The 17,462-nt window shown below is 37.0% G+C and overlaps 1 long non-coding RNA gene across 1 annotated transcript in view; it reads right to left on the reverse strand.

The window, feature by feature from the left end:
- LOC101928882 (uncharacterized) overlaps window positions 1–17,462 on the reverse strand; it is a 162,590-nt gene that overhangs the window by 74,777 nt on the left and 70,351 nt on the right. The gene's annotated exons all lie outside the window — the stretch shown is intronic.

Here is a 17,462-nt window from a genome sequence, read left to right on the forward strand (position 1 = left end):
CAGTATACATAAGAATAAATATGTGTAACACAGGCTCCTCTTCTCATAATGCTGCTTTTCTTTAGAAAATGGAAATTGAGATTATTTAGATAAGAATGAAACTGACTTCACTCTTCCTGGCCTCTTTCCACTGAATGAAACATGTGAATTTATATATTTTCCTCTTTTCCATTGGTTTCTATTTCTCATAATTCTAAACATTGAATAATCAGCTTGGAAATTATGCAGTGATACCAAGAATATTCCCCTGTACATCTTATATCTTCAGCTTTTGTGTTTTTTTTTCAGCCTATTTTCATCTTTTTACTTCCTTCATGAGGAAAGGAAAGGACAGGAGGACACAAATGTGCTTATTTATATCCCTACTTTCTTTCATACTACAGAACACCCACTGACCTCAGGCTACCCTCATATGAATACATAGCGTCTATTTGCAATGCACCTCTCCCCTACTCCCTATAGTCCAGTCTGAGTCTCATCTAGCAACAACAACAAATGCCCCAGAGCTACCACAAATGAACAGTGACTACCAATCTGATGGAAACATTATAAAAGATTTTTATTTATTTGTCTTTCTCTAATAAAGATTCTTATTTTAATATTTAAAAAATTCCATTGAATTATTGGAAAGACAATGAAGGTTATAAAATTACCATTTGCGCCATTATAATTTTGATGAAAATATTAATAGTAACTTTATCCACCTCTTCCAAAGAAGGACAGAAAAAAAGATAGTGGCCTGGAATCTTGAGGAAGGGGAAATATGAACTACTATGGCCTCTCTTGAGATAAGCCTCTTCTAAAATGGTATTAGTATCCTTTATTCCTTTGGCAACAGCCTGCAGCATTCCTTAAATAATAACTGGCCCACCAGTGAAAGAGTCATATACCTTCTATAGGACAAGTGAGCCTGCCAGTCTGTTTGCTTCTGTCTCATTCATTTGCTAAACCACATGGTTTGATTTTCCTTAGTATGGGTTAGGACAGAGTAGGGAGATAGAAGAATACTGGGAACATAAAATCGTTCTGTGTTGTTTTTTATTGTTTCAGCTTTATATTTGTTTTAAAACCTGCTGTACATAGTTCTGGTTTTTGTTGGTGGTGGTTTATTGTTTCAACTTTATATTTGATTAAAAACTGCCATGGACTTTCTTACATTTAAAGGATCAGTGTTAAAGTCTCCCAGCGGATTTCCACCAAACATTAGTCCCATGAAATGCCCCATGAAATAAAGATTCTGTAGCCATATAAACTTGGGAAATAGTACAACTATACCTCCCTCCTGGAGATTCACAAGGCAAGGTAGAAACTTAAAGTTTCAGAGTAGTCATATAAGAAAGAAAACAGTTTAATTTTATTAACTCGGTGTTACCCAAGTTTACTTGACCACATTGTTTTTTCATATAACACTTGAGCATCAAGCTAGTGTTCAAAGACTATACTTTTGGAAATGCTGACTTTAAAGGCTCATAAGCCAGCAGGTTTTATCATGTACTATTTCAGTATGAGTTATTTTCCCATTTAACTGTTATTCTATGTACATGTTTGTTTGTTTACAAATTCATGGAAATAAATCTAGACCAGTAGTTTCCAACCACAGATCATCTTGCCCCCCAGGGACACTTGATGATGTCTGAAGATATGTTTGGTTGTCACAACTTGGCAGTTGCTAATAATATCTAGTTGGTATGGGGTCAGGAATGATGCTAAAGATCTCACAATGGATAGGACAGTTCCCCATAACAAAGAATCATCTGGCTTACATGTCAATAGTACCATGATTGTGAAATTATCATCTAGACAGTGGTTAACTCTGAGAAGTAGGATTGCAGGTAGGGGTGAAAAGAGAAAGGTTCACTTTTGATTTTATACAAGAATACTTTATTTACTTTTATAGTTAAAAATATAATTAATCAATGTATATATGTCATAGAAAAGTTTAAAAACACACCAAAGATAAATTTAAAATTACCCTGACATAAACATTGTTGAATGCTGTTAGAAATACTACAATACAAACGTACATTCTAACCCCATATTCCACCCAGATTTCTAGAAATAGAAAAATACTATTAATAAATCCACAACAGCCTAGAATAACAATAGGGGATGGTTGTGTCAGTCTCAAAAGCATATAAAAAAATCTCTGAAATATAGGAGGCAAGGGAGGTTACCAAAGGAGGAAATCAGAGCTCCAAATTAATAGATGTGCAGAAGTAGCTTAAAAGGTACTTCAAGTCAAAGGTAGCATACGTGGGGAGCAGGAGGAGGTCTGTAGAAAACAGCAAGGTGATTTTGGGGAATCCACGGAAAGTGCAGACAGTTAGGTCTCACTTTTCCTATCCTGCCCGTTTATCTAATGCTGAGCAGCAGAGGACTCAGGTCCCAAACAAAAGCAATGAGTGTGGAGTGTCTTTAGTCCTGAGAGGCAGGTTAGTGCCCAGAATAGATGGAAACTCTCCGAAGGTATGAAGAGACCCCATACCTAGAATATCTCACTCACTCTACAGCCTATACCACCTCTCCCCAACAATTGTTAGTTGTAGGTTAAAGTTTGAAAAAGAAATACACAGCATTCATACATAGAACAAGAGAGAATCTAAAATAAGATTCTAAAAATATATGTACATTAAGAATTTGAGGCCGGGCGCGGTGGCTCACGCCTGTAATCCCAGCACTTTGGGAGGCCGAGGCGGGCGCATCACGAGGTCAGGAGATCGAGACCATCCCGGCTAAAACAGTGAAACCCCGTCTCTACTAAAAATACAAAAAATTAGCCGGGCGTAGTGGCGGGCGCCTGTAGTCCCAGCTACTTGGGAGGCTGAGGCAGGAGAATGGCGTGAACCCGGGAGGCGGAGCTTGCAGTGAGCCGAGATCCCGCCACTGCACTCCAGCCTGGGCGACAGAGCGAGACTCCGTCTCAAAAAAAAAAAAAAAAAAAAAAAGAATTTGAGGGCCAGGCACATTGGCTTACACCTGTAATCCCAGCACTTTGGGAGCCTGAGGCAGGCAGATCACGAGGTCAGGAGTTTGAGACTAGCCTTGCCAACATGGTGAAACCCCCTCTCTACTAAAAATACAAAAAATGAGCCGGGCATGGTGGTGCGCACCTGTAATCCCAGCTACTCGGAAGGCTGAGGCAGGAGAATCGCTTGAACTCGGGAGGTGGAGGTTGCAGTGAGCCGAGATTGCGCCATTGCACTCCAGCCTGGGAGACAGGGCGAGGCTCTGTCTCAAAAAAATAAAATAAAATAAGAATTTGAGAAAACAGTTCTAGTCTTCACAATGACAGATGCTACAGCAAATTCACATTAGAGGAGTATGTCTTCACCTAAGGCAATTGGTGGAGGCTTCAATTTGTTGAAATACAGTAGTTGACATTGACTAAGGTGTAATTTTAAATTTAATGTAATATAGTTATGATGGGTGCTGTGAATATGTTTTAGGAATATCTCAACCAATTTTCCTTACTTACATATTTTTCTGTGTATAAGAGTGATATATAATAAAACCTATGTTGAAATAAGCCAAAAATTATTTCCATAAAATTAAAAATCAAGGTGAAAAAGTATTGTGTCATCGTTTCATTGATAGTATTTTTGTTCTTTCATAGTGACATATGAAATAATGGCATCTTATATAACACAAAATAGATATAAAAGCCATAAATTAAATATTAGCAAACTAGATCCATTAATATATGAAAAATATATTATATCTAAGTTGGGTTTAATTCCAAAAATGCAAGGTTGTTTTAACTTAAGAAATCAATTAATGTAATTCACCATATTAGCAGATTAAAAAAGAAATAGCATTTGATCTTCTACCTAAGTGAAGAAAAAAGGCTCTTCAGAAAATCTAACATTCAGGCATGATAATATTCATGGCTAAGAATAGAAGAGAATCTCTTTAAGCTAGTGTGATGGTTAATACTGAGTGTCAACTTGATTGGATTGAAGGATGCAAAGTATGGTTGCTGGGAGTGTCTGTGAGGGTGTTGCCAAAGGAGATTAACATTTGAATCAGTGGACTGGGAGAGGGAGACCCACCCTCAATCTGGGTGGGCGTGATTTAATCAGTTGCCAGCAGGCTAGGCTAAAAGCAGGCAGAGGAAGTGGAAGGATTAGACTGGCTAAGTCTTCTGGCCTCCGTCTTTCTCCCATGCTGGATGCTTTCTGCCCTCAAACATCGGACTCCAAGTTCTTCAGCTTTTGGACTCTTGAACCTACACCAGTCATTTGCCAGGAGCCCTCAGGCCTTTGGTCACAGACTGAAGGCTGCACTGTCAGCTTCCCTACTTTTGAGTTTTTTGGACTCAAGACTGCTCCTCAGCTTGCAGAGAGCCTATTGTGGTACTTCACCTTGTGATCATGTGAGTCAATACTCCTTAATAAACTCCTTTTCTTTCTCTTTTTCTTTTTCTTTTTCTTTTTTTTTTTTTTGAGACGGAGTCTCGCTCTGTCGCCCAGGCTGCAGTGCAGTGGCGTGATCTCGGCTCACTGTAAGCTCTGCCTCCCGGGTTCACGCCATTCTCCTGCCTCAGCCTCCTGAGTAACTGGGACTACAGGTGCCTGCCACCAAGTCCAGCTAATTTTTTTGTATTTTTAGTTAGAGAAGGGGTTTCACTGTGTTAGCCAGGATTGTCTCAATCTTCTGACCTCGTGATCCACCCGCCTCGGCCTCCCAAAGTGCTGGGATTACAGGCGTGAGCCACTGCGCCCGGCTAAACTCCCTTTCATATATGAACTTATCCTCTTAGTCCTGTCCCTCTAGAGAACCCTGACTAATACACGTAGTAATGGATGTTTACAAATAAATAAACAAAAAGCTGCTGTAAAATTATGCATTATAAAACTCTTGAAAGCTTTCTCTTTGAAATCAAGAACAAAACAAATATGACTAGTAATGTAGTTTGGATGTTTGACATCTTATCAGATCTCATGTTGAAATTTGACCTCCAATGTTAGAGGTGAGGCCTGGTGGGGGGTATTTGGATTCTGGGAGCAGATTCCTTATTAATGGCTTGGTGTCCTTCTCGAAGTGGTAAGTTCTCACTATTCATTACCACCATAACTGATTGTTAAAAAGAGCCAAGCATCGCCCTTCCCTCTCTGTTTATTCCTCTCTTACCATGAGATCCCCACTCCCCTTTGCCTTCCACGAGTGGAAGCTTCCTGAGACCCTCACCAGAAACAAATGCTGACACCATGCTTCTTGTACAGTCTGAAAAACCATAAGCCAAATTAACCTCTTTTATTTATAAATTATCCAGCTTCAGATATTCCTGTATAGCAACACAAATGGACTAAGATACCTACTGTCACCACTACAATTCCACATTGTATGAGGATTTTAGCTAGCATAATAAAGCACAAAAAAGTGTTAATGTTCTGGAAGGAAGAAACTAAACTTGATACTTACACATGAAATAAGTGTGATGTAAAAATTCTAAAACTATCTACAGATAATTTTAAAATAAGTAGGAGAGTTTAGTAGAATTGCTGGAAATAAAATCAGTTTACAGAAATAAATTGCTATATTTCTATATGCCTTTAACAAATAGTTATTTTTAATAGCATTAAGCACACAGAATACCTAAAAACAAATCTTATGAAGAATTTTGGAGACATTGATGGAGAAAACTATACAATTTTATTAATGGATATAATAATTTATTATAAATAATTTATTTTACTAATGGTTATAAGTCCTAAATAAATGAAAAGATATATCATCTCATTAAGCAGAACACTCAATATTTAAATATGTAAATGTTCTCCAATTAATTTAATTTAGATTCAATTAAAAGCCAATAATCTCAACTTGTTTTTGTGAATCTTGACAAGTTAATTTTAAGATTAATGTAAAAATATTTAGGATCTCTGCTGGGCGTAGTGGCTCACACCTGTAATCCCAGCACTTTGGGAGGCCAAGGTGGGCAGATCACCTGAGGTCAGGAGTTCGAGACCAGCCTGGCCAACATGGCAAGACCCCATCTCTACTAAAAATACAAAAATTAGCCAGGCATGGTGGCACATGCCTGTAATCCCAGCTACTCGGGAGGCTGAGGCAGGAGAATTGCTTGAACCTGGGAGGCAGAGTTGCAGTGAGCCGAGATCACGCCACTGCACTCCAGCCTGGGCAACGGAGTAAGACTCTGTCTCAAAAAAAAAAAAAGTATATATATATACACACACACATATATATGATCTCAACTTACTTTTTGTGAATCTTGACAAGCTAATTCTAAAATTAATGAAAAAATATATAGGATCAAGAATAGCCAAACACTTTATAAAAGAAGAGGAAAGATTTGCTTTACCCAATAGCAGGACTTATTTATTACAAAATGACTGTAGTTAAAGCTACGTTAAGTATTGGTGTAGGAACGGATAAGTAGATTGATGAACAGAATAGAGCCCAAACACACTCTACAGATATTTGAAGATACACTACAGATATTTGGTGGTGAGCCCACTGAGTAGCCACATGGAAAAAAGTAAAATTGTATCTCTATCTCGCACCAAACACAAACACCAACTGCAAGAGTAATAAAGACTCAATCATAAATGACAAACTAAGAAGCTCTAAGAAGTGAGGAGAATGCCTTCATGATTTTGGAATGGGGAAAAGTTTCATAACCAAGACACAAAGAGAACTAAGTATTTTTTGAGTATTAAGAAGTGAGACCACATTAAAATTAAAAACTTCAGTTCATCATATGCCACTATAAAAGAGTGAAAATACAAGCTGCAGAGTAGGATAAGATATTTGCAACACATATAACTAAAAAGTACTTCTATTCAGAAAACACAAGGAACTCCTAAAAATTAGTAAGAAAAAACTGAAATACAAATTTTTAAAATGGGAAAAAGTCTAGAACTTCACAAAATGGAAACTTCAAATTATCAATAAACATATGACAAAATATTAACTGTCAGCAGTAATCAAGGAAATGCAAATTAAAACCAGTATGAAGTAGCTTTGGGTACCCATCAAATTGACAAAAATAAAACTTCTGACAATATCAAACGTTGGCAAGGATGTGAAACAAAGGAAATTCTATACATCGTTGATGGTCTGTGAATTGTCTACTAAAGTTTGAAAATTAATTTAGCATTTTAGTAAAGTCAAAGATATGCAAACTCTATGCCCTAGCAGTTTTTCTTCTACATACATCTTTTAAAGAAATTCTTATATACGTGCACCAACATAGTGGTACAGAATATTCTTAGCAACATTGTTTGTAAGAGTAAAAAACTGTAAAACAACCCAAATCTTATAAAATATTGATGAATAAATAAGTTTGTGGCACAGTGCTACAACTGAATACTACAACACAATGAAAATGAATATAACTGAAACCCCACACTACCATGTGAATAGATCACAAAACCTAATATTGACATAAAACAAGTCCAAAATATGATTCTATTTATGTGAAATCAAAAGTTCAAAAATAGGCAAAACCAGACTATAGTGCTTAGGATGATGTTATGAGTTGAATTTTGCTCCCCTAACATATCTGTTGAAGTCCTCACTCCCAGCATCTGTGAATGCAACCTTATTTGGAAATGGGGCATTTGCAGATGTAATCAAGCTAAGATGAGATCATTAGGGTGGACTGTAATCCAATACGACTGATGTCTTTATTAGAAAAGGAAAGAAAAACACATAAGACGACCAGGTTATGATGAAAGCAGGGATTGGAGTTATGCTGCCACAAGTCAAGAAATGCCTGGGGCTACCAGAAGGTGGAAAAGGCAAAGAAGGGTCCTTCCATAGATGCTTTAGATACAGCATGGTTCTGCCAACACCTAAATTTCAGACCCAAAACTATGAGAAAATAAAATTATTTTGTTTCTGATATTTGTTAAAGCACTCCTGGGAAACTAATGCACGTAAAAAAATTATAAATAAATTTTTTAAAGCAAAAAATTTAATATCTCAAAAAGCAGAATAGCGTTTACCTCTAGAGCCTCCAGAGGCCAGGAATTGGTGCTGATACATATCTTTCCTATCTGGTTATTGTTAAGATGCTCTCTTTTTGTTTGAAGTTTGTAATTTAACTATGATTTGTCTCGGTGTGGATATCTCTTTGTCTTGCTTGATATTCTTAGACTTCCAATATCTGAGACAAGTGTCTTTCATGCATTTAGAAATATTCTTAACCATTATCTCTCCTAATATTACTTTTCCTTCCTCCTCCCTATTCTCTCCTTCAGGAATTCTGACTGGATACATGATCGATCACATGCTACCTTCCAGATATTTTCTATTTTCTACATCATTGTCTTTCTGTGCTGTATTCCATGTAATTTCTTCATATTTTGCCATTTTGCAACCATCACGGTAATCACTGGTTTGGGCAATTATCATCAATGAATGTGGATCCTTCATGAATACCTAGAAAAGAGGAGAGTTTGAGGGGAAACTGGCTAATTGCATGATCTCAAAAAGTTTCTCTCAAGGCTATGTATTAGTCGCAAAGGGGAAAGCAGTAACTATATTGTGGCGAAACTAGAAAACATCTAGATTGCATGATCAAAATTAACATCAATGAGGAATAAATGACGTTATGTGCCACCAGATGTGATTTTTTTGAGACAGGGTCTCACTCCCATCCCCCAGGCAGAAATGCAGTGGAGTAACCACAGCTCATTGCAGCCTTGACCTCCCAGGCTCAAGCAATCATCGTCCCACTTTATTTTTTAACTTTTTCATAGAGATGAGGTCTCACTTGCCCAGGCTTGTCTCGAACTCTTGGGCTCAAGCGATTCTCCTGCCTCAGCCTCCCAAAGTGCTGGGATTACAAGCATGAGCCACCATGCCTGGCCCAGATGTGATATTTTGAGAAGGATGTAATGCCACTTATTTAGTAGTCTGATCTGTGATGTATAATCTGAACTAAATCATGAAGAAACAATGAAACTTTCTCACCTAGTGTTTCATGAAAAATGTAAGCCTTACAGAAAATGACTTGAGTGACTATTTTCTCAATTTTCCATCCTAGATGCGTAGGAGAGAGGTTAATTCATTCTACACAATGTATGCTTCAGGGCTTAGTTCTCCTGAGGAAACTCAGTTAAAAAGGGATGGCTCACACAAATTCAAATTGAGGCATTCTATTATAAATAGCCCATATTCTTCAAAAATATTAATGTCAACAAAGACAAAGAAAGGCTGGTGAACTATTGCAGATTCAAGGAGATGTGACAACCAAATGCAATATGTAATCCCGGACTGAATGCTTTCCTGGAAAAAAAAGTTATCAAAGACAACATTGAGACAATTGACAAAACTGTAATATAGACAGTAGATTAAAGTATTATGTCAATGTTAAATTCCCATAATTTGATAGCTATACTGCTGTCATATAGATATTGTCATTCACAGTAAATACACAGACAGTTTAAGATGGTAAAGAGGTATGATATATGCCGCCTACTCTCAAGTAGTTCAGAAAATAATTACATATACACATCCACACAACATCAGCTGTATTTCTTAAAGTAAGTACAATATTGGTGTTCAACCTTCCCAGTTATCTTAGAAATGCAAATTAAAACAACATATGACTTTATACCCAAAATAATGGCAAATATTAGAAATTCAGGTAAGATCAAATGTTGTTAAAGATGTGGGAAAATGACGATTCGCATGCACTGATGGTGAAAGTATATTGGCAGAGAAATTCTGGAGTGCAAACTGCCAGTACTTACCAACTCATGCTTTGGTCCATTAAAAAAAATCAAATATATCGATAATTCCAATAAATCTAAAAGAACTAAATTCTCCAATTGAAAGAAGAAAATCAGAAAACAACTCCAATGTTTATCAACAATTATGTGGAAAATAAATCATGGTAAGTTAATATTTGTAACATTTTACAGCAATGAAGATGAATTAATTACAGCTACACACATTGATGTGGAAGAATCTCAGAAACATATGAGGAAAAATGCAAGTCAGGGCCAGGTGCAGTGGCTCAAGCCTGTAATCCCAGCACTTTGGGAAGCCGAGGCATGTGGATCACTTGAGGTCAGGAGTTCAATACCAGCCTGGCCAACATGGTGAAACCCTGTCTCTACTAAAAATACAAAAATTAGCTGGGTGTGGTGATACACACCTTTAATCCCAGCTACTCGGGAGGCAAAGGCAGGAGAATCGCTTGAACCCAGAATGCAGTGAGCCGAGATTGCACCACTGCATTCCAGCCTGGGTGACAGAGCGAGACTCTGTCTCAAAAAAAAAAAAAAAAAAAAAAAACCAAGTCAGAAGAGTGCAAAAAGTACCCTCCATTTATTTAAAGTGCAAAAACAGGCAAAACTTAACAATATAATGTTTATTATTCATACATGTGCAATAAACCTTCAAAAACAGTTAGGTAACGATGAAGACAAAACCCAGGGTAGTTGTACCTCAGGGAAAAAAGAGAGGGCACAGTTGAGGAGGGATACCCAAAAGGCTTCATAGATGTTGGTAATTTTCTATTTCTCCAACAAAGTGGTAGTTACATATGTATTTAATAGCTAATACTATTTAAACTGTACATTCATACTCCCTACTCTCTTGGTAAGTGTAACTCATAATAAACAGCTAAAATTAAAACAATACTTTCAGGAGTATGTGTGACAAATGTTAAGATATGAAAAGGAAGGATGATGGGTACTCAGGTATCCGTTATATTTTTCTCTGTGCTATTGTGTATATTTGAAAGATTCAGTAATAAAAACAGAAAGGAGATGCAAGGAGGCATTAAATATGATTCTCTTGACGTCTACAGATCAAGTTGATGGAAAATAAAGATATTAAAAAATTTGGGTTATATCACTAGTGGTTTGCACTAATAATTTCATATAAAACTTTTCACTGCCAAAAATGAAAATACGTGATCACATATAGGCCAGTTAGAAAATCTCAAAACATTTGAAAAGCAGACAGACAGCATACAGACTAAATTTATATATGTGTACATATATAGCCTATTTGAAAATTATAAAATCCGGGGCCGGGCGCAGTGGCTCACACCTGTAATCCCAGCACTTTGGGAGGCCAAGCGGGCGGATCACGAGGTCAGGAGACCGAGACTATCCTGGCTGATACAGTGAAACCCCGTCTCTACTAAAAATACAAAAGAATTAGCCAGGCGTGGTGGCTGGTGCCTGTTGTCCCAGCTACTTGGGAGGCTGAGGCAGGAGAATGGCGTGAACCCGGGAGGTGGAGCTTGCAGAGAGCCGAAATCGCGCCACTGCACTCCAGGCTGGGCGACGGAGCGAGACTCCGTCTCAAAAAAATAAAAATAAAAAAATAAAAAAAAAGAAAGAAAATTATAAAATACTGTTTATTGGAGACACTGTCCTTTTCCCATTGTATGTTTTTGGCACCTCTGTCAAAGATGAATTGGCTGTAAATACATGGATTTATATCTGGTCCACTAGTCTACATGTCTGTTTTAATGCCAGTACCATGCTGATTTGGTTACTATAGTAGTAGGTTTTAAAGTCAGGTAGTGTAATGCCTCCAGCTTTGCTCTTTTTGCTCAGGATTGCTTTGGCAATCCAGGGTCTCTTGTAGTTTCATATAAATTTTGGAATTTATTTTCTATTTCTTTGAAGAATTTCATTGGTAGTTTGATAGAGATTGCATTGAATCTATAAATTGATTTGAGTAGTGTCATTTTAACAATATTAATTCTTCCAATCCATGAGCATGGAATATCTATTTTTTATGTCCTCTTCAATTTCTTCCATCATTGTTTTATAGTTTTTGATATGGTTTGGCTCTGTAGCCCCACCTAAATCTCATCAAATTGTTATTCCTAGTGTTGGAGGAGAGGCCTGGTGGGAGGTGATTTAATCATAGGGGTGGACTTCCCCTTTGCTGTTCTTGTGATAGTGAGTTCTCATGAGATCTGGTTGTTTAAGAGTGTTTAGCATTTTCCCTTCCATTCTCTCTTCCTCCTTCTCCAGCCATGTAGGACATGACTCCTTCCTCTTCACCTTCCACCATGATTGTAAATTTCCTGAAGCCTCTCTAGCCACGCTTCCTGTACAGCCTGTGGAACTGTGAGTCAATTAAACCTCTTTTCTTTATAAATTACACAGTCTCGGGTAGTTTGTTTGTTTGTTTGTTTTGAGATGGAATCTTGCTCTGTCACCCAGCCTGGAGAGCAGTGGCACGATCTCGGCTCACTGAAACCGCTGCCTCCCAGGTTTAAGCAATTCTCCTGCCTCAGCCTCCCAAGTAGCTGGTATTACAGGCGTGCACCACCATGCTTGGCTAATTTTTTTTTGTATTTTTAGTAGAGACAGGGTTTCACCATACTGACCAGGCTGGTCTCAAACACCTGACCTCGTCATCCGCCCGCCTCAGCCTCCCAAAGTGCTGAGATTACAGGCATAAGCCACTGTGCCCAGTCTAGGTAGTTCATTATAGTAATGTGAGAATGGACTAATACAGTTTTCCCTGTATAGATCTTTCATTTTGGTTAAATGGAATCCTAGTTTTTTAATATTCTTTGTAGATATTGTAAATGAGATTGCTTTCTCTTTCAGACTGTTTGCTGTTGGCATATAGAAATGCTACTGATTTTTCTATGTTGATTTTGTATCCTACAACTTTACTGAATTCATTTATAAATTTTAACCATTTTTTTGGTGGAGTCTTTAGGTTTTTCTAAGTATAAGATCATGTTATCTGTGAACAAGGCTAATTTGACTCTACCTTTTCAATTGGAATGTCATTTTTTTTTCTTTCTCATCCTTAATTACTCTAGGCAAGGCTTCCAGTATTGTGCCAAATAAAAGTGATGAAAGTAGGCATCCTTGTCTTGTTCCAGATCTTAAAGGAAAGGCCTTCAATTTTTCCCTATTTAGTATGATGTTAGCTATGAGTTTATCAAATATGGTCTTTCTTATTTTGAGGTATGTTCCTTCTATACACGGTTTGTTGAGGGTTTGTATCATACCAGGATGTTGAATTTTATTAAATGCTTTTCTGTCATCTATTGAAATAATCATATGGTTTTTTATTCTTGTTTCTGTTAATGTGATGTATCACACTTATTGATTTGCATATGTTTTAAAGCATCCTCACATCCCTGGGATGAATCCCACTTTATCATGGTGAATGATCTTTTTAATGTATTGTTGAATTCACTTTGTTAGTGTTTTGCTGATTATTTTTTCATCTGTGTGCATCAGTGATGTTGTCCTGTCCTATAGTTTTCTTTTGTTGTGTGCTGGGTTTTGAAATCTGAATAATGCTGGCCTCATAGAATGAGTTTGGAAGTGTTCTTTTCAATTTTTTGGAAGATTTTGAGAAGGATTGTTATTAGTTCTTTAAATGTTTGATAAAACTCAGCAGTGTAGCCATCAGATCATGGGCTTTTCACTAGTGGATGACTTTTTGTTACAGTTTCAATCTCATTATTCATTATTGGTTTGTTGAGGTTTTCTATTTATTTATGGTTCAATGGTGATAGTTTGTATGTGTCCAAAGAGTTATTCATTTCTTCTAGATTTTCCAATTTTTTGTGTATTGTTGTTCATAATTGATTTGGTTTGGCTTCCCCACCCAATATCATCTTGAATTGTAACATCCACAATTCCCAGTGTCATGGGAGGAACCTGGTGGGAGGTAATTGAATTATGGTGGTGGGTATTTCCTGTGCTGTTCCTGTGAGAGTGAATAAGCCTCATGAGATCTGATGGTTTTGAAAAACGGGAGTTTCCCTGCACAAGCTCTCTTGTCTGCCACCATATGAGATGTACCTTTTACCTTCTGCCAATGATTGTGAGGCCTCCCAAGCCACGTGGAGCTGTAAGTCCAGTAAACCTCTTTCTTTTGTAAATTGCCCAGTTTTGTTTTTTTTTTTTTTTTTGTAGAGACAGACAGGGTTTCACCATGTTAGCCAGGTTGGTCTCGAACTCCTGACCTCAGGTGATCTGCCCACCTTGGCCTCCCAAAGTGCTGGGATTACAGGTGTGAGCCACCACACCGGGCCTTCGGTATGCCTTTATCAGCAGCATGGAAACAAACTAATACAATAATAGTCTCTCATCATTCTTTGTTTTTGTTGTTTTTTTGTTGTTGTTGTGTTGTTGTTGTTGTTGTTGAGACAGGAGACAGTGTCTAGCTCTGTTGTGTAGGCTGGAGTGCAGTGGCACAATCTTGGCTCATTGCAACCTCCATCTCCCGGGTTCAAGTGATTGTCGTGCCTCAGCCTCCCAAGTAGCTGGGACTACAGGCACGTGCCACCATGCCTGGCTAAGTTTTGTACTTTTAGTAGAGACTGGGTTTCGCCACATTGGGCAGGCTGGTCTTGAACTCCTGACCTCAAGTGATCCACCTGCCTCGGCTTCCCAAAGTACTGTCATAGGCATGAGTGACCATGCCCACCCCATTCTTTGTATTTCTGTGGTCTCAGTTGTTTTCTGTTTTATTTGTTTGGGTCTTCTCTTTTTCCTAGTTTAGCTAAAAGTCTGTTAATTTTGTGTATCTTTTTTTTTTTTAAAGGCCCAACTTTTCATTTTGTTGATCGTCTGTATTTTTTTTTTTAGTCTCAATTTTATTTATTGCTGCTCTGATCTTTATTATTTCATTCCTTCTACTAATTTTGGGTTTGGCTGGTTCTTGCTTTTCTAGTTCCTTGTGGTACATTGTTAGGTTATTTATTTGAAATCTTCCTAGTTTTTAAATTTAAGCATTTATTGTTATAAATTTCCCTCTTAGAATTGCTTTTGTCATATCCCATAGGTTTCGGTATGTTGTGTTTCCAGTTTCTTTTGTTTCAGTAAATTTTTTAATTTCCTTCTTAATTTCTTCATTGTCCCATTGGTTGCTCAGGAGCATTTTTCCTAATTTGTGTAGTTTCCAACATTCCTCTTGTTATTGATTTCTAGTTTAATTCCATTATTGTTGAGAAAAAATACTTAATATGGGTTCTACTTTTTTGAGTTCCTTGGGAAATGTTTTGTAGCCTAATATATGATCTATTCTTCAGAATGTTCCATGAACTGATGAGAAAAATGTGTATTCTACAGCAGTTGGGTTAAATGTTCTGTATATGTCAGTTAGGCCTATTAGGTCTAGTGTGTGGTTTCACTCCGATGTTTCTTTGCTGATTTTCTGTCTGGATGATCTGTCCACTGCTGAAAGTGGGATGTTGAAATCTACAATTACCATTTTGCAATCTCTCTATCTATTAATGTTCACTTTATATACTTGGAGCTCCAGTGTTAGATAGATAGATATTTGTAATTGTTATATCCTTTGCTGAGTTTACCCCGTTATCATCTTATAGTGACCTTGTTTCTTTTAACAGTCTTTGATTTTTAGTCTATCTACTTCTGCAGCTTTTTGGTTTCCAGTTGCATAGAATATCTTTTCCCACCCTTTTGCTTTCAGACTATTCATGTCTTTATAGGTGAAGTAGGTTTTTTGTAGGCAGCATATAGTTGAAACTTGTTTATTTTTCAACCACAGTATGCCTTTTAATTAGAAAACTGAATTCATTTACATTTAATATTATTATTGACAAGTAAGGACCTACTACTGCTATTTTGTTGCTTAGTTTTTGGTCGCTTTTTAACTCCTTTTTTCCATTTTAACTGTCTTCTTTTGTGGTTAAGTGATTTTTTCTCTAGTAGTATGTTTTAATTTGTTGCTTTTTATTTTTAGTGAATCTATTACAGATTTTTATATTTTGGTTACCATGAGGCTTACATAAAACATCTTATGTATATAACAAGTTATTTTAAAGAGATGACAACTTATCTTAGATCAAAAGAAAGGTATAGAAACAAATTTTTGAAAAAGAAAAAATTCTATACTTTAACTCTATCCCCCTACATTTTGCCTCAATTTATATTATTTTTATATTACCTATCTCTTAACAGGTTGCTATAGCTATCATTGTTTTTCATAGATTCGAAGATGGGACTTTCATCACAGGACTCTGTGCAGACACTCCCCTGTACTAGCCTGGAGCTTGATAGCTCTGCTGTGTGAATAATCACTCAGTTTGGCTCTCAGGAAGCCACATCTCTAGGGGAAGGGGAGGAGCAATACATTAAGGAAGCACCCGTGGGACAAAAGAATCTGAAGAGCAGCCCTTGAGTCCCAGATCTTCCCTCTTACATAGCCCGCCCAAATGAGAAGGAACTAGAAAAACAATTCTGGTAATATGACAAAACAAGATTTTTTACCACACCCGAAAGATCACACTAGCTCATGAGCAATGGATCCAAACCGAGAAGAAATCCCTGAATTGCCAGAAAAAGAATTCAGAAGGTCGATTATTAAGCTAATCAAGGAGGCACCAGAGAAAGGTGAAGTCCAACTTAATGAAATAAAAAAAAAAGAAAATGATACAAGATATGAAGGGAAAGCCCTTCAGTGAAATTAGATGGCATCAATAAAAAACAATCAGTTTCTGGAAATGAAAGACACACTTAGAGAAATGCAAAATACACTATTAAGTCTCCATAATAGAATCAAACAAACAAAGAACTTCAGAGCTCAAAAACAAGGTTTTCAAATTAATTTTAAAATTACCAACAAAAAGTTTGAGACCAGATGGATTCACAGCTGAATTCTATCGGATATTCAAAGAAGAATTAGTACCAATCTTATTGGCACTATTCCACAAGATAGAGATAGAGATTCTATGAAGTCAGTCTCACCCTAATGCCACCTCACCTAAAACTACAGGCCAATATTCCTGATGAATATAGATGCAGAAATACTTAACAAAATATTAACTGAATCAAACAGCGTATCAAAAAGATAATCCACCATGATCAAGTGGGTTTCATACCAGGGATGCAGGGATGGTTTAACATACACAAGTCAATAAATATGATAAACTACATCAATAGAATTAAAAACAAACATTACATGATCATCTCAACAGACACAGAAAAAGCATTTGACAAAATCTAGCATCTCTTTAGGATTAAAAGCCTCAGGAAAGTCAGCACAGAAGGACATACCTTAATGTAATAAAAGCCATCTATGACAAACCCACAGCCAACTTAATACTGAATGATTCTGCACCTGAATCAATACAGAATATTGATTCTACTCATCCATACATGCTCATGGATGAGTAAAACCAATATTGTGAAAATGACCATACTGCCAAAAGCAATCTATAAATTCAATGCAGTTCCCATCAAAATACCACCATCACTCTTCACAGAGCTAGAAAAAATCCTAAAATTCATTTGGAACCAAAAAAGTTCAAAGCATTCCCCCTAAGAACTGGAGCAAGACAAGGATACCCACTCTCACCACTTCTATTTAACCTAGTACTGGAACGCCTAGCCAGAGCAAACAGACAAGAGAAAGAAATAAAGGGCATCCAAATTGATAAAGACGAAGTCAAACTCGCTGTTTGCTGATGATATGACTGTATACCTAGAAAATCCTAAAGACTTCTGCAAAAAGCTCCTAGA

This window comes from Homo sapiens, chromosome 3 (genome assembly GCF_000001405.40).
Source record: "Homo sapiens chromosome 3, GRCh38.p14 Primary Assembly".
Lineage (NCBI taxonomy): Eukaryota > Metazoa > Chordata > Mammalia > Primates > Hominidae > Homo > Homo sapiens.